Here is an 18,341-nt window from a genome sequence, read left to right on the forward strand (position 1 = left end):
ATTAAGACTAAATAAGAGGAATAATCTCTAGTCGTCTATTTAGCACTGTAGGGTGACTATAGTTAACAATAATCTATTGTATATTTTCAAATAGCTATAAAAGAGGATTTTGAACGTTTCCAACACAAAGAAATGCTAAATGTTTGAGGTGGTGGATATGCTGATTATCCTGATTTGATCATTACAAGTTGTGTATGTGTATCAAAATATCACACTGTACCCTGTAAATATGTACAATTATTATGTATGAATAGGATATATGTACACACACACACACACACACACACACACACATATGTCCTAATTTACTAACAGAAAGCTACTAGCTCATCAAGGCCCCCTTCCTCTCCTTCCCTTTCCTATATGACCTACCACACTCATAAGTTATCTAAAAGTAAGTAATGAGAACTGAAACCATGCACACAGCTTACTGCCTATATGAACAAGAGTTTACTATTCCACTGGCTTCATTAACATAACATTATTACTACAATAATCTCTTGCCTGCGAAGATAAAAGTTGAACATAACTTTATTATTGATTCTAGGAACTGCATAAAAGGCCTATCCACTGTTCAGTAAAAAGTGCCAAATGGCATTTTACAACCTCAAGACTCTTTGAACCACTTGCCTTAAAATCCTTGACTTGCTGTGTCCACCAAACCTAAAACCAGCATATCACTATTCCCACCCAATCACATCCTTCCCCTACATTGAAAGACCTGCTTTATGCCAGATTTCAAAATATGAATAAGTGTCCCCCAAATCCTTCTACCTCTGAGACTCTGCTAAGACCCTGTTCAGGAAGTACTCTTCCTTACAGCCTTATGCAATAAAGTTAGCTTTGCTTATCAACAAGTTATTTGGCTGATATTTGGGGAGTACAGCATATGATGAGTATAGTCACCACTGCTGTACTTCATGTCAGAGTAGACTGAGCCTAAATCCTAGGTCCAGTATCTATGGATATTTCTGAACCATGCACTGTGACCACAGGCATATTCAGGGAAATCAGTTACCAGTCAGGAGATTTAAATGTAAAAGAACGTAACCAAAAAAAGGAAACAGGTCTTAATGTATTTATTCTACGATGCCGCTATGGTCTTGCTGTTGTGGCGCCCCCTGGACAGGGTAGGAAGGTGGGCCATAGAGGGGAGGTGGATCAGCTCAGAAAAGGGTGAGTTGTGAAAGGAGACACTATCTGAAGTATTTGAGTCCTGGAGGCATATGAAACTGCCCACAGATAACTGATTCTGGAGTTTTTAGTGGGGACCTGGGAAGGGGCAGGGTGGAGTAGGATGGGGCGGGGCACTGCAGTCTAAGAGGCAAGAGCCGGCCTCAGTGCACATGTTTGCTGGGTGTCTTCCCGTCTGCCCCTTCGCACTGCGTGGTGAATGCCGCCAAGCTGCGCGGGTGCTGGTTACATTCCTACCGTCTGGACTCTTTCTGGATGACTGAGACACAGCTGATAGGTCCATAGGTCAGTCCTCCCAGGAGTTTAAGTGTCAGTGAAGTGTCAGGTGGAGTTAGCAGGCTTTGGGCAGGTCAGGCAGTGTGGTAGGTGGCTTCACAGCGGGAAGGGCCTGGAGGTCATTGTTCTTTTAAGAGGTGGCTATTCTGCCGCCAGCCTTGTCGTTGTGGGACAGGGGAGGAAAGTGGGTCATGGAGGGGAGGAAGGTCAGCAGAAGATGAGGTGAGTTTTGGAGGAGGACATTATTTGAGGCATCTGAGCCTTTGAGGCTATGAAACCGCACACAGAGGATGGATTCCGGAGTCTTTAGTGGGGAACTGGGAGAGAGGGTGGGACAGACTGGTGCACCACAGCTGCCATGAATGGTGACAAGTTGGACATAACCAGGTCCACATGTGCTTGTGCCTTTCCACAATATCAGGCTTTTATTGATGCTAATTCAGTCGTAAAAGCCACAAGCTACACGGAGTTCCTAAGGAGGCAGTTCTCCTTAGCACTTATCGTTCACCTGGTAGTTAGAGCAGCAGGCACACAAACTCAAGCCACTCCACAAGTCAGTCAGTATTGCAAACCATACATAACAGTATGCTAAATCAATTTATAAGTGTTATAAGTTAAACATTCCACAACAAAGTAACACTTTTCATCAAAGTAAAACTTTTTCATTGAGAGGAAAAAGAGGACAAAGGGTTAAGGAACCAGTCCAGGGGGGGTGAAGAAGACAAAAAGAGTCCTGGTCTGGGCTGAGTGGTCCATGGGTCTTGCAAGGAAGTCTTTGACGTGGCAGAGCCTTTGGCAGCAAATGCCAAGTTCTTGTCATGATTGATTGCAAGAAGGTGTCAGTTAAGACAGATGTTTGAAACTGCTGAAGGCCTAATCTTTTATAGTCACAGGGTCCTCTGGTAAGAGCTGATCGTGGAAGAGTGCTTGTTTGTGTCCTTATCTGGTTGGATGCAGTCTTCATGTTTTATTTGTTTATTAAACAAAACATGCTATTATTGTTGGCAAAGTGCCCTATGAAATATAAAATGGAGTATTTTTCTAAGATGGTGTTAGTTATGTCAAGGGTGCTCTATACAATCTACTCCAAGATTTTAGTAATCATAATGCAAACAATGTTTGAGGAAGGGGTTACAAAAATAAAAAATGACAAGTCACCATGGGAATTAATTTCCTCTTGGTAACTTGTTTACAATTTTGTGTTACAAAGGCTGAAAACGCAGATCTTAAGTATATGGTAAGCAAAGAGGATGTTTACAATGAAGATGACAACGTTCTGTAAATGTTCACAGATATATTTAGACCAATTCCAGAGTCCAGTTTTTAATATATTGATTGGGTTCCAGTCTGACCATGAGCCTTCATAAGGGGTATGGCTAAAAGTCTTCTTAATCATTTGGAAGAAGATGCATCTTCTGTGTAAGCCATCTAGTTTGAATGCTATTTTATTTGTGTTTAGTATTGCTAGTCCATGTGTTACTACCTCAGTGGTGTGTTTTAATTGTGCTAATTCTGTTTGGAATGTGTCATGAACTTGTTGAAGTTCCTTAGAGCTTCCTTGTGAAAGAGGAAAAGTTCCCTTATCCCCTCACAGGGCATGTGATGTGGGTGTGGCTTGCTTCTTCAGTGCCTGCTGCTCAAACCTCTAGGGGGAGCATGCAGACAGGCATGTTGTGGGGCTCTGACCCCAAGGCAGTGTCTAGGGGTGAATGCTTACAGCTCCTGAAGCCCCAGTGGGAGTGTGTTACAAGGTGCTCTTTTAGTTTAGCCATCTGTAGGCAGCTTGTGTTAGCTCAATTAGACTCCCTACCTTATCGCGAGGACAGAGGGCTTTCTGTATGCCAGGATTTCTTGCCTTGGTGTACTGGAAGAATCAGATCACATGTGGGTTTGGAGAATGAATGCAATGTTTTATTGAGTGGAAGTTCTCAGCAGATGGATGTTGCAGGAAGTCAGGGACCCCAAACGGAGGGACTGGCTGAAGCCACGGCAGAAGAACGTAAATTGTGAAGATTTCATGGATATTTATTGGTTCCCCAAATTAATACTTTTATAATTTCTTATGCCTGTCTTTACTGCAATCTCTGAACATAAATTGTGAAGATTTCATGGACATTTATTACTTCTCCAATCAATAATCTTATAATTTCCTATGCCTGTCTTTACTTTAATCTCTTAATCCTGTCATCTTTGTAAGCTGAAGATGTATGTCACCTCAGGACCCTGTGATGATTGCGTTATCTGCACACATTGTTTGAAAAGCACGTGTGTTTGAACAATATGAAATCTGGGCACCTTGAAAAGAACAGGATAACAGCGATTTTCAGGGAACAAGGAAGATAACCATAAAGTCTGACTGCCTGTGAGGCCGGGCAGAACAGAGTCATATTTCTCTTCTTTCAGAAAGTGAATAGGAGAAATATCGCTGAATTATTTTCTCAGCAAGGAATAACCCTGGTAAATGCATATCTGATTGCCTTCTTTAGAGAGGCTCATCAGAAACTCAAAAGAATGCAACCATTTATTTGTCTCTTATCTACCTATGACCTGGAAGTCTCCTCCCTGCTTCGAGTTGTCCAGCCTTTGCTTCGAGTTGTCCCGCCTTTTCCAGACTGAACCAATGTTCATCTTACATATGTTGATTGATGTTGCATGTCCCCCTAAAATATATAAAACCAAACTGTGCTCTGACCACCTTGGGGACATGTCATCAGGACCTCCTGAGGCTGTGTCACAGGCATGTGTGCTCAGCCTTGGCAAAATAAACTTTCTAAATTAACTGAGACCTGTCTCAGATATTCAGGGTTCACAGTTATAATAGGTCAGTGTGTTGTTCCTCTCTAAGCTTATTATCTAATTGAAGTTTCATAAGTCTAGAGTCATTGTGGGGATTTTCGTGATGCTGATAGTTGAGTAATCTAGTTTAGGAACTTTGTCCTGACAGGTAGAGTATATAGTGTTTGATCATTGGAATATTAATTCTTTTTGTATAAAATAACCATCAATAAATAGTGGTCTTTCTAAGGCAGTTATATGTAGATTATGTCTTATCTTTCTGTGTAATTGCCATTGTGTCTTATGCCATTGAGTCTCCTCCTCTTAATTCAAGTAGATTTAATATACATTGCCCTGAATCCTGATGCTTTGGATGTATCCAATTTAACTATAGACATTTTGTCCCAATTTTCTGTGAATAATTTTCCTGATGTGTATAATGTTCCTTATGTCATTCCAAGTCTGAGTTAGTAAAATACTTAGCCTAATACACTGTGTTTGCAGCAAGTTTTTCACCATAAAGTTTCTTAATGTAAATAGGTTAGTTTTTAGGTGTTTAACTTGTGATCAATATTGTAATTGAATTCCTTTTGGGATTCTGGGAGGTCGTGTGTATGAGTCATCATTGACTATATCTCGTTAATTGCCTATGAGATAGATGAAAGTATAGATGTGGTAGTTGTTTGCAGGAGTTACGTTTATGTTCATAGGTCTGTATTAACTTCCTAAATTTTTGCTTCTTGTATTCCTGAAATGACTGAGTTTGAAATAATTCCAATTGCTGCAAATAGTTGTGGTGGTTTTCTTAGATGATATTTATCTAGTGAAGGTAAATTTGGTAAAATGAACTGCTTGTCATATCCTTGTCCCTCAAATTACATAACTTGTGGTTTGATGTATGTGACTTTAAGTTCTTTTTTGAAAAATATTTTGACTCTCCTAGGTGCTGGTTTGTAAATTAATCTTAATGGGTTAATTAGGATAGGTTCAACTAAATTTGGTTTTCATAATTTAGATAGAGGGTTTGTTATTCCTTTGGTACACTGTGGTGTCCAGTGGTGTGTTCCTAAGCAATGTGTCAGTCCAGCATCCTCTGCGAATTATGCATGGCCCAAGGTTCTGGGGTTTAACATAGCATTTTGCAAAAGAGATATCTCTAGCTACAAATACAGGTAAGTGGGAGTCTAGTTTGGCTATATTTTGATAAATAGGATGTTGGACTGACCATATAACTTTATTCTATGATCCATCAAATGGCTGAATCATGAAGAAAAAGTAATTTGACATACCTGAGTCTATTTTTGTGACTTTATCCATATTTATTTTGGTTCCTAGTGTTTCCCACCAGTTAATTGACTTAAATTGTGTATTGTTTCTATCTACATCTTCAAAATTAAAGTTTACATCATCCTGAATTACCAGTGGATACATTGTAAAAATAACTTGATTTTGTATATACTTAGTTTTCCTGGTAAATTTGTCTAATATAGTTATGTCTCTTGGTTCATTTCCTGTAAAGAATGTGCCAATAACCTCTGCTGTTTTGTAGGTCAGTGTGAATGGTCCAAGTACTAAGAGTGAGTTAGATAATAGCAGATTGTATATATCTGGTCTGTGAGTAGATGTGAATATTAATTGTTCCCATTTTGTTTGTTGTAATTTATCAAAAATAACTGTTTCTAATGTCCAGTTTCTAATGTCCATGGGTTTCTAGAAGATGTCGACATCCAGCAATCAGTAAATTTAGTAGGGATTTTCTATGTCATTGTATCTATTGTGATGACTGGGAACTAGTGTGGTTTTTGTGGTTGTGTCCAACATAAGCCTGCTTTGGTTTCTGTCACATTCCACCATAGAGTGGACTTTCCAGTTATGATAACATATCTGTCTACATTCTCTATAAACTCTTTGCTTATTGTGTAAAGGTAGTTTTGATATATTGTAGCCAAGTTTGCCATTTAATGTTGTAAATTTAGCATGTGTTTTATTATGCCAAAGTCTGAATTGTGCTGTGTCTGTTGGTTTGTTTTGTTTTGTAAAGCCTGTTGATCTTGGAACGTGTAACCATGTTAGTAAGCAACTTATAGTGTAGAATGGGCAAGGATAAGGTTTTCATCCGTGGGATAATGAAATGTAGCTTTAATATATGTAAAGTTAAGGTTAAAGCATATTAATGTTGGTTGTCCCTCAAAATGTATATCTTGTTGGGTAGTGTTGATTCTATTTTTTATCTTTATAAGTTCCTTATTTGTGGAGGGCAAGTATAAGTATACTTGTATTCAAGACAAGCTTTATCTACATACATTGTTTTAGTGTGTGTTTCAAAGGTAGTGTGTGTAAAGTGATAGTCAGCATTAGTTAAGATTACTGGGTGTCATCTATGTTTTCAATATAATTCTGCCAGTGAGAATTTTTTAGCCTTATTAAAGAATTGTTACTCCAGCTCTCTTTTGTCTAATAAAAAGAAAAAAGAAGAATTGTGAGACTGTCAAATAATTTTGGCTTTTTGCGTAATAATCATAAGATGAACAGGGTGGGTGAAGGCAAAATTTCCAAAAAACAGCAAGTTAGGAAAGTTAATTAGATGATAGTTATAGTATGTCTTATCCTCTTCTGTTGTTATTATATCATAATCTAATGGATATCCTAGTGGCATTGACACTTTTTCCTGTGGGGGTCTGATATATGGGTGTAAGATGAAGTGGTTGGTTTTGTAGCTATATTTAGTCTTGTGTCATCCCTTGAATCTACTTCATAATCATAATGTTCATTTCCTTCAAGTCCAGATTGGTACCAGAATTCATACCAACTATTAACAAATGACTTGTAGGAGTGTCGTATCATATCCAAGCATGTCATGTGAGATCTTCCAACATATGGTTCTATCTGTGGTACTATGATTGGGGATTGGTATGATATAGCGCTTCTTATGTAATGAACTGTTTTGATTGGCATGTCTGTTTCTATTAGCATTTCTCTACCTATTATGTGAGCCATCCATGGTTTGAGATGTTATTGAATGCTTCATTGTAGCTGCATAAGTTGGGGTGTCACATTTAGTCATGTCATTTATGCATTCTTCTAAAGTATGTTTAGGAATATGCGCAAAGATTCTATAAAGATACAATGATTGGAAGTGTGTGTAAAAGCTAAAAGCTCTTCAGGCATTGCTTTGGGTCAAATGAATATGAACAAAATAGTCTAATTGAAGCTCTAAGTATTCTTTTATCAGTCCCTTGACTTTCTAACAATTGTTCAAAAATGATATATTTTCATGAAGTATATATTGCGGAATTTGTTCTGGTAATCGTGTGATTTTAGGTGCTGTATGAGTTGGCACTGTTGGATATGTATGTGTTTGAGGCTCAGAAATTTTAATGGTTACTTTAGGAATAAACAGTAGTAGCAGTAGTAGTAGTAGTAGTAGTAGTAGTAGTAGTAGTAGTAGTAGTATCTGTTATTTCCCTTCTATATCTCCTAACATATTTTAAGCTATTTGCATCAATCTTATGTTTGCTATTAATTATCAGATGTATAGGCATTAAATATAGCACTGAAAACAAACTAAGATATAATAATCTATGTCATCCTAATATTTCTCTAAGTAGTATAGTCAAAGATTGCTTCCAGTAGTAGTATTGCTGCTGGGTTAGGTTGGGGTAGAACAAAGTAAGGTAGTTCTATGGGGTCTGTCCTCTCTTATTAAGCAGTTTAGCAATGCAACTTATATAATAGGTTAGTAGCCAAGCAAGACTTATGCAGTCATTGGGGTGTACACTTTCAACTAAACCTTCAATAGCTCCTAATGCTGCAGTTAGTTCATAAACGTAAGGAGCAGGAAGGTGGCAGTGGCGCCTAGATTCTACAAAGTCTGGTCTGAAATTCCAGTCCATGCCTGCCTGTATGGGCCAGTCTGCTTGAGCTAATTCCTGAAGGAAATCTGGTGAAGGGGCTCTGAAAGCTATAGGTGGCGAACATGAGGCTGAAGCTTAAAAGGAAGGAGGGCAAGGCGGGATATACATGGATGATGGAGATCCTGGAGAGGCTAAGTCCATATGCTGGGGATGCATTATAGCTGTCAGTCTGCAAATTATTAATCAAATAATATACTTAACAAGCAGATAGTGAAATTTGTAATTTTTCTGCTGTGAGGGGTGTGTGTGCTTGTGTTAGTTTGATTTATCTGGTTACAGTCTCCCTGGTGGCAATATAAGTAATAACAAGGCAGTAAAGTTACTATGATGGCTAATATGAGGTGAATGAGAAAGTTGATAAGACCAGTTGAGAAGCTACACAAATTTGTAGCCATCTTGATGTCCTAAGTGAGTAAAGTATTTAATTATTCCAGTGATAGCTAGGAGTGATGTTGAAGTTAAAAATATTAGATTAGTGGTAAGCAAAATTGGATTGAAGTACACCTTCACTTATTCTCGTGGATAATATTAATGCAATGACTAGAATAAAGCATTGTAAAGAGAGATTGGAGATTTTGTCTAATTCTAACTCTCCTGTTTCCTGTAGTCTAACATGTGTTTCCGTGTCCATGGGCCACAGTGTCCTGTTGGGAGATAGTGTTGTTATTTAGTCTAGTGCTCACCTTGTAAGGTATAATATTTGTATCATATTCTTCCTTATCTTTTGTGACAGTTAAGTTTGGGTGATTAAGATAAGAATGGAGGCTGCTCTTATAGTCTTTCTCTTTGATTTAAGTTGAAACATGCCAGGTTAAGAGCTTGTTGAAATGTACTCATTTGGTCTAAGGCTTTCCATTCTCTTTTTATTAGCCATTAAATCTTTCTATATATCCCACTGCTGTAAGATTGCAAGGTAGGTAAAAATTTAATTATATATCCCATTGGTCCACCAATGCTTGTGTGGTCCTTGATGTAAAATGAGTTGCTTGATCACTTTCAATCATTTTGGGGGCTCCATAGTGAGCCGCCCAAATTTCTAAGGCTGAGATATTATATTTGGCAAATGAGTGGCTAGCTGCTGTTGCTATGCCAATCCCTTTATATATATCCACCATTGTAACTGCATATTTTTGTTAGTAGGAGCGATTTAATGGTTCTATAAAATTTACCTGTAAGCAGAAATTAAAGATGTCAGATTTGTATGTATATTGGTTTAGTATATTTATATTTGTCCAGATTAGTTTTACATTATTCACAATTACCTGTAGCCTTTTTAATTTGATGTCATGTCACCTTTTGATTTCTGACAGCCACTTGTACAGTGAGTGTGTGCCTAAATGTCCTTTCTGCTTACGTAATTGTAGGAGCATTTGTGGAATGTAAGCTGCTTCTGGTGTCTGTTTAATTTTTTTTTTTCAGGTGGAGTCTCGGTCTGTTGCCCAGGCTGGCGTGCAGTGGCACGATCTCAGCTCACTGCAACCTCTGCCTCCCGGGTTCAAGCGATTCTCGTCTCAGCCTCCTGAGTAGCTAGGATTACAGGCAAGTGCCACCACGCCTGGCTAATTTTTTTGTGTGTTCTTAGTAGAGACAGGGTTTCACCATGTTGGTCAAGCTGATCTCGAACTCCTGACCTCGTGATCCACCTGCCTCGTCCTCACAAAATGCTGGGATTATAGGCTTGAGCCACCACACTCAGCTGTCTGTTTAATTTTCAAGTCATACCCCTGTTTCATTATAGTTATTGGGGGGTACTTGTACTATCTCACATTCATTGTCTGATTATCTCCTGAGTTGTAGAAGTGGTAATGAATGTCTCCATGGGTTGTCTGGATTTCTGTGTAGTTTTAATTTGGGTATGTTTTGAGTGTCAATGTTTATATTCCCTGTTAATGCATCTACTTGGTTATTAAATTTTGTGGTCTCTGAATTGTCTTTTTGGTGTGCTGATTCATGCATCACAAATATCTAAATTCAGTTTGATAATTCATATAGTTCCTTCCAGTAAGATGTGGACTGTATGTCTTTACCATTAATTGTAAAATTATTTTGTTTTCATTTATGTGACTATAGGACTATGCCATTTGCAACTGCCCATGAGTCTGTAAAAATATAAATTTTCTTTCAATTTTCTGATAGTGTCTGACTGGTAGGACAGCTGCACTCAGTTCTGCATGTTGTGTGGGGAGAGATTTACCTGCTTCCTTCAGGATTGTTTATTTCTGGGGTCTGAGTGCTGTTGCTGTCCGTTGGGTCTGGCTTTGGGTCATGGAGGCTGATCCCTCTGTAAACCAGGTGTTGGACAGTACATCAGACTACACTGGGCCCCATTTACCTACATTTGCATGGATTGTCCCTGTCCTCAGAATAAATTCCAGCAAGTTTATTTCAGTCTTGTGGATCTCCTTGGTGAGGAGGCCTGGTTGACCCTTAAAGCCTGTATCTCGACCCTGGATGTACCATTTCCATGCAATCAATTTGGATACCTATTTATTCTTCAGGACTCAATTTTATCCAGTGAAGGAGAGGTATATGGTATCTAATGGTAATGGTGTTGTTACCAGTCAGAGGCTCAATGTTTGTGAGGGCTTCATGTGTAAGCCATATATATTTTTCAAATGGGCTATATTTGTTGTTTAGAGCATGGGAATTTTGTTGTCCAAAATCCGACCAGTAGGAAGGATTTAGAATCTGGTTTCTTTGTCCATAATGACAATGTTCCATATTCATTGCTCATTAAAATTTTCAACCTAAGTTGTGTATCTGGAGATGGCTAATGTTGTGTTTGGAATGTGGTAATGTAGTCTTTGAGTGTTTCGAGTGCTTGTGTTTGTTCTTGTCCCGATGTGAAGTCAGGATTTCCTAGTCATCTTACATATTGGTTTTAGGATGATGTTTAAATGAAGTATATGTTGTCTCCAGTATCCAAATACATCTGCAAGTCTTTGTGCTTCCTGTGTATTCTTTGGTGCCTTAAGGCTTTTTATTTTATCTACCACTGTGGTGGGGATTTTTCTCCCTTTTAATGACCACTGTACTCCTAAAAATTTGCAATTGGTGTTTGGACCTGTGTTTTTATCTCTATTAATAGTCCATCCCAGTGATCTTAAGTGTGTTATTGAGATTTTTTTTCTTGTTTAAGTGTTTCATGGTCATTGTTTACCATTATAATGTCACCTATATATGATATTGTTAGTGATGTGTATTTTGACTGGTCTATGTGTGATGATAAAATGGAGTGAGCTATTACTGGACAACTTAAATATCCCCGTGGTAATATTTTATATTGGAATTGTTTGCCTTCCCAGGCAAAAGCGGTATATTCCTGACTTTCTTGGTCTATTGGTATGGCAAAGAACATGTCCAACATGTCTATAGTTACACAGTATTTGTCATTACAGTTAGTGATCTTATTAATGACTTCTTCATCTGGTAATACTCCTGGCATTTTAGGTATGACTTTATTTAAATTTCTATAGTTAATAGTTATTCTATAGCTCCCATTTGGGTTCAGGACAGGCCATGCTAGACCATTAAAGTTATTTGAAATGCCAATTGTAATAAGTTCTTCCTTAAGAAGTTCTAGAATCTTTGCTTTTATTTCTTTGTGTCCTCCCTTTAATGGATATTGTTTACTGTACGCAACCTGGTATGGTGTAGACAGTCTTATGCGCTTCATTTTAATTTGTGCTATGTAAGAGAATTTTAGTTCCTAAGTTTCTTAATAGACCACCATGGGTTAAAAAGTTTCACAACTCGATCCATTCCTATAATGTTTTCTAGTTCAGGTGAATAGTAAATAGTGCAATGTATAAGTTTAGAGTTACAGAACCATATAGAAGCAGAGATAGGGAAGCCTCAAGTTAGTTTTCCTCCAAGTCCTTCTATGAGGATGTTTGTGTTAAGGTTTGTTGCATTATATCTAAGACAGCTTGTGATTCAGTTTCTAAATAAATGTATAAGTATGTGTATATTTGTCAATTTGTATAGTTAATTGTATGTATGGTCTATTATCCCCAGGATTGAGTGTTACAGTTCATACCCAGGGGGTTTCTCATTTGTTGAGAAACATTTTCTTGCAACATTTTTCTGTTGTTGTTGCTGTTTTTGACATTGTGAGTTTGGCCCTGGACCTCGGGAGGTCCATTATTTTGGACCTTATTTTGGTATCTGGCTGGTGGCCTTAGATGGCCCTGTTGCCAGTGTTGGAAATAAGAACTTGGAGTCACAAAGAAAACGAGCACTCGAACAAAGGATTTCTCAGCAAGGTAAATTTACTTCTGCAGAAGGGTGCTGCTTGCACCTCTGGCCACTACGAGAGCACACTGAACAAAGGAGGGAAGGGGTTTTTATCCCTAACACACTCCCTACCTCTGTGTCACTCCCCCATGGGCTGGGGTCAGACCGCACAATCTAAGCTGACTTGATTGGCTATTTGTGAATATTTTCCCAAATAAGGGAAGGGAAGGGGGATGTGAGTTACAGGCTGGGACTGGTGGTTTTGGCGGGAAGAATAGTTGCAGTTGCAGAGTGGGTAACCAAGGGAACAGGTGTGAATTATTGATTAGAACTGGCTGGAAGGTTGTTTACTGTAACTAGGGGCAAGGAGGCACAAAGAATGAGGAAGTTAGGCTTTGAAAATAGAGAACAAAGAACAAAGAAGTTGACCAAGCTGACTTTTTGAAGAGGAACTTACTGTACCTAACACCAGTTTGGTCCTTGTGGCCTTAGTTGCCAGTTATTTTGCCTGGGTTGCCAACTTGTCTGCCTTGGTTTATTTTTCCAAGGTCCTCCAGGTCTGTTTTGAATAAACATTCAGACTTATGTATTAAATGTAAAGAATTTTGGTGCCTTCCTGAGATTATCTCTTGGTGTTTTTTTAAATCAGGTTTGCCATAAATGTTACCTTGTGAGTTCCTGATAATTCGGCAGAAAGTTGAAAATTTTCTAGTATACTTTCTATGGTTCTTCATGCTGAGAGAGAATTAATGTAGGAGACTTTTAGGTTAGGTGGTGCTCCTGTAAGTGCTCTTTCAATTTCATTTGTAGCTGGAATTTCAGATGGAATGGTATATTGATTATATCCATCATTTATAATTCCTAAGATAGATAATTTTCTTGTATCCTTTTGTGCCTGTGTTAGATCAGTCCATTTAAGTCCATCACCAAATTTTGTTGGGTTTAAATATTGGGTAGATAGATATCAGGCTAATGTAATCCAGTCCCAGATGGATAGGACACATGTTGGATAATTTGTTGTTAGTTCTAATAATTTCTGATTTAGTGATGGGTTTTCTGCTAATGTTTTGATCTGATGCATTTCTGTGCCTGATAGTGCTGTGGTGTTTGCTTCATTATTGCATAATGGAAGGAGTCAGTCTGCATCTGTGGTCTGTCTTTGGCAAAAATTTATTCTTAGTTTTTGTAATTCTGCTGTGGTGTATTCTCTGTCCTCACTGATGTCCTGAGGTCTGCCATTTCCACTGTTATAATCTATAACTCTTTTTGTAGTTATTATAGGTCTTGCTGCATATATCCCACCCACCTCTGGGATCATTATATTCTCCTAGGTCCACTAGTTGGGGGTCCTTAGGACCCAGGGGTTCCTCCTTAAAAGTTACATCTGAAAGGGATTTACTTTTCCTTAAAATTCTGTGAGCTAGCTCTTTGGCTTTCTGAGGACCCCTGTATATCTGTGAGCTACTTTGCATTAAAAGTGCAGGAATTTCTTCAAAAGCCTAGCTCTTGGGAGCATTGAAATGTAAGCTCAGAGTTACATTTTCGAATCTTGGGAAGAGGCTTGTCAGACACATTGTTTGCTTTCTGCTGAGATAAGGAATGTATCACTCTGCCAGAGTATGACTTTTTACAGATTATTAAATAAAGTTGTGTATGTCTCAAAAAAAGTGCAGGGATTTCTTCTCTGGGGGCTCTGGTAATTAAAGGCTTAACATTTTGTCAGGTCCCTCAAGTCTGACCATACATCCTTGGGGGATCCTACAGGGACTCTTTCTGACTTCCAACTCTGTTGGGTACCAAGGACTCTCAACACTAAGTACTGTATTTGGGCGATGAGCCCTCTGGCATGCCTGCTTAATTTTCTTAACTAGAACCCACATTATGCCATATTAGTAGCTACTTTATATAGTTTCTTAATAATATTTCAATTTCCCACCTTAACCGACTGTCTGAGTGGAGGTTATGTAATAATTGACTTTCTTTTGGCCAAATTAAAAATTTGTTTTGCCAGTCAGCATCCCATAAATTGAGACCTGCTTGATGTGAGCATTCCTGGCTCCCCCAGCTTCCTAGCTTGGCATCAACCAAGACCTTGTCAGCCGTTGGATCTTCACAACTTGAGCAAGTTGTCTTATCACCCAAGGTTTTCCTCAAGTAGCCAGGCTTTCAAGGTGAGGCGAGATTATGTCTGCTGTCAGAGAGCATGGCAGTTTGTTTTGTCAAATGGCGTGATTTCCAATGGAAGTTTTAGTGGGGGCTTTGGCCTTAAAATTGAGTACACCAATTATGCCAAGTAAGCCAACTGTGCCAGTTGTGCCCAGTAAGCTGACTATGCCAGCTTATCATGAGAAGTACTGGATTAGAAATAACCAGGTCCATGCATGCTTGTGTCTTTCAACAATATCAGGTTTTTATTGATGCTATCCAATCACAAAAGCCATGAACTACATGGAGTTCCCAAGGAGACGCTTCCCCTTAGTTCTTCCTGTTCACTTAGTAGTCAGAGCCACAGGCACACAAGCTTAAGCCACTCCACAAGTCAGTCAGTATTGCAAACCATACATAACAGTATGCCAAATCAATATGCAAGTGTTATAGGTTAAACACTCCACAACAAACAAAGTAAAATTTACCATCAAGAAGAAAAAGAGATAAGATAAAGGATTAAGGAATCTGTCTAGGTGGAATGAAGAAGACAAAAGGAATCCTGGTCTGGGCCAGCCAGTCAATTGGTCTTGCAAGGAAGAGTGTTTGTGGTGGCAGAGCCTTTGGCAGCAGATGCCAAGTTCTTATCATAAATGACTGCAAGAAGGTATCAGTGAAGATGGCTGTTTTGAGCTGCTGAAGGTGTAAACTTTTATAGTCACAGAGTCCTCTGGTGAGAACTGATTTGAGTGTGAAATGTGAGTGGGTGAGGAAGATTAGCATACAGGCCTTAACCAAGAAGAAATGGACAAGAATCTTCTCAGCCTGATAGGCCTGTGGTTGTGCGTACTTTAACATTTGATATTTTCTATTAGCTGAAATTTCTTTTTGTAATAGTGTTGTTGAACTAGTATAGATACACTGATAAAGATCTTCCATGCTGATAAAAAATGATCATGGCATCTCATGAAGGAAAGACTAATCTAAGAGGATTATGTTCTGGCTTTGCCTAGATGAATGATCTTGTGTTTCCCAGATTTTGCCCATGACTCCCTCCTCATGCTTATTGATAACAGATTGCACACATCTATCCCAACAGAGGTTAAAATGACTTCTAAAACCCTTGAGGGTGTCTCTGTCTTAGAGTAACCTCTCCATGGGAAGAGTAACTTTATGAAGAATAAGTATATGTTTTGTGGGATCTATGGGGTGTTGCTTTTCTGGCCAGAAACCTCTGCGGCTGGTGGCATCTTTGCCCAAGTTCTTGTCTTGTGTCCAGGAAGAAGGAGGTAGGCAGACAAGTGGAGAGTGAGCAAGATGAAAAAGAGCTTTATTGAGTGTTAGAACAGCTCAGAGGAGACCTGCAGTGTGTAGCTCCTCTCTGTACGTAGTTCCTCCTATCATACAGTGTTCAGCTCTCAGCAAAGAGGAGGCCTGGAGTGAGTGGCTCCTCTCTGCAGACAGGTCGTCCTGATGAGTGTTCACCTCTCAGCATAGAGGGTGGCTCCTTTCTGCAGCTTGTCATCCTGTTGTCTGCAGCTCTCAGCAGAGAGAAGGCTCTGAAGAGGGTAGCTCCCCTCTGCAACTGGTCGTCCTGAAGTCTGCTGCTCTGGCAGAATCTGGGGTTTGTATGGGCTTCAGGGAGAAAGTGCATGCTGATTGGTCCATGGGCAGCCGTGGGCAGGCCTGGTAAAAAGCACCATGAGTTCCCCCTCCAGTCCGCAGGAATGGCAGCCTGGATCCCAGGCTTCAGGCCTTTCCGGGCCTAAAGGTGGCGTTTCACCAGGGACCCCCCTTCTGCCCAGAAGCCTGTCGGACTCCTACCACCATTCATGGCTCCCAGACTGTTTGTGCCAAGGGCTGCCTGCAGGCCAGTGCTGAACTTCCTTCCGCCCCCCGACTCCATTTCCCTCCTGTGTTCATTGGTGCCCAAAGCCTGGGGGACTCAGGCAAAAGGTGTCTGGCAGGTCAGCACTACCCTGAGCGTGCATCCACCCAGCCGGGCTGTGACAGTGCCCAGGCGGCCCCAACCTTGCTCCACAATCAGAGCGGGCACTGGGAGTAGGGAGAGGCCAGGCAGTGGGAACAGGCACTTCTGAGCGGGGGAACAGGGGCCGTCCAGGGCTCCCAAGAGCACAGATATGCCTAGGTCCAAAGCCGAGCTCGGCAGGCTGCAGCTGCACCTGGGCAGCTCCCGTCCCACCAACTTGGAAGAGGCGAGGCTCCTGCTTGTCCCTGGCTCCCACTTGTCCTTGGCTCCCACCAGTTTCATGCAGTGTGCAGCCCCGGCCATGCCTCTGAGATCGGAGTGGACGCTGACAGTGCGGAGAAACCAGGCAGTGGGAGCAGGCACTTCCAAACCTGCCGGGGGGCGCCTTTCCTTGGCCCCCTAGAGCCCAGAGACACCCAGATCTGGAGCCACAGTAGAGCAGCTGCAGCCATACAGGGGGCAGGGCTCCTGCCTGCTCTGTGGAACAGGAGGCCGGGCCGTGCTGCAGCCAGTATGATGGCAGCTGCTGCTCCAGATGGGCCACCCCTGCCCCTGCCATCATATGGAATCATGTTGGAGAAATGTCTTTAGACTTACTTAGGATTAGAAATATCTATATATTCTGTATACTTATATTATTGACATGTATTAATAACAAAACTTTTTATTTGCGCACACACGCGTGCGGGCACACATACATACAACGCTAGTCCCAGGAGCCAAGTGAGAGAGAAGATCAGGGTGCAGCTGAGATTTAAGGTGCTGGGAAGGAAAAGAAGGAATGTCTGTGGTGGAGAGAGAGGAGGCCTATATGTTCATCATGCATTATGCCATAACTAGTAACAGGAGGAAAGAAAACATTAAGAAAGGATCTCAAACATTTCCTGAAAGTTGGCTGGAAAAGTGAAGAGTATAGTATGCAGTTTTGTGCAGTCCCTCACTATAAAGAATTTCCCTTTTTCCTTGAGACTTATTTTCTGTGTTTGAAAATACCTTTCTCATCAGTGTTCTATATTAGCAAATCCAAGAAAACAATGTTTAATATTAGTCATAAAATTGTGCACTATCTCTTAGTTATTGCATCAAAAACATAAGCATCTTTTAATAAAACGTATAGCGTGCCAAGTCAACACACTTATAACACCTAGGATAAGGCCTGTTTACATGGCGTTTTTAACTCCTTTCTAAATGAGACAACTCAGACTCTGAGATCGTGTCTTACTAAAGAGCACTTGACTGGTTGGGATAGATTGGTACTTCATTCCCTAAATAGTATTTTTCCCCTCTCTGTTTTTGTAAGTAAAAAGTGAATGGTTTTGCTTAAAATGCTTAATGATCAAATGTGTCTGCACTGTAAGGTAGCTCAGTACTGGCTCAGGAAAAGACACAGTTCAATGAAGAGACTCCAGAAAAGAGCTCAGTGAATGATGGCCATTGTCCTTTGGTTGATATTTTTTGCAGTAAATTTGGTAAAAGCTGGACAATTCAAGATACTGACCTATAAGTAGTTATATCACTATGACTTTAAGAGGCTTTTTAAAAGTTGTTTAAATACTTTCATAATTAGAAAAATCAAAAGTATCATAAGATTATCATGAAACAGAGATTATTTCCTCAAAATATAGTATTTCCAAACTAAACATTTACATAATTTGGTCCATGGATTATTTTAGCAATTCACTGTTAAGGAGTTTCCAAAACATGACTGACAACAATGCCCATTAATTTCTTCCCACCCTACTTCCTTATTCTCACTTCAAGACAGTAAATTCACTGTTAGTCACAATTAATTTTGCTATTATTTCTGGTAC

The 18,341-nt window shown here is 39.9% G+C and overlaps 1 annotated feature.

The window, feature by feature from the left end:
• Positions 16,760-17,400: an enhancer, noted in NCBI's record as "H3K4me1 hESC enhancer chrX:52028188-52028851 (GRCh37/hg19 assembly coordinates)". NCBI's record gives its function as "activates a minimal SCP1, AML or CMV promoter by ChIP-STARR-seq in primed H9 embryonic stem cells {active_cell/tissue: H9 hESC(primed)}" and the evidence as "EXISTENCE:reporter gene assay evidence [ECO:0000049][PMID:30033119]".

Source organism: Homo sapiens, chromosome X (genome assembly GCF_000001405.40).
Source record: "Homo sapiens chromosome X, GRCh38.p14 Primary Assembly".
NCBI classification, from domain to species: domain Eukaryota; kingdom Metazoa; phylum Chordata; class Mammalia; order Primates; family Hominidae; genus Homo; species Homo sapiens.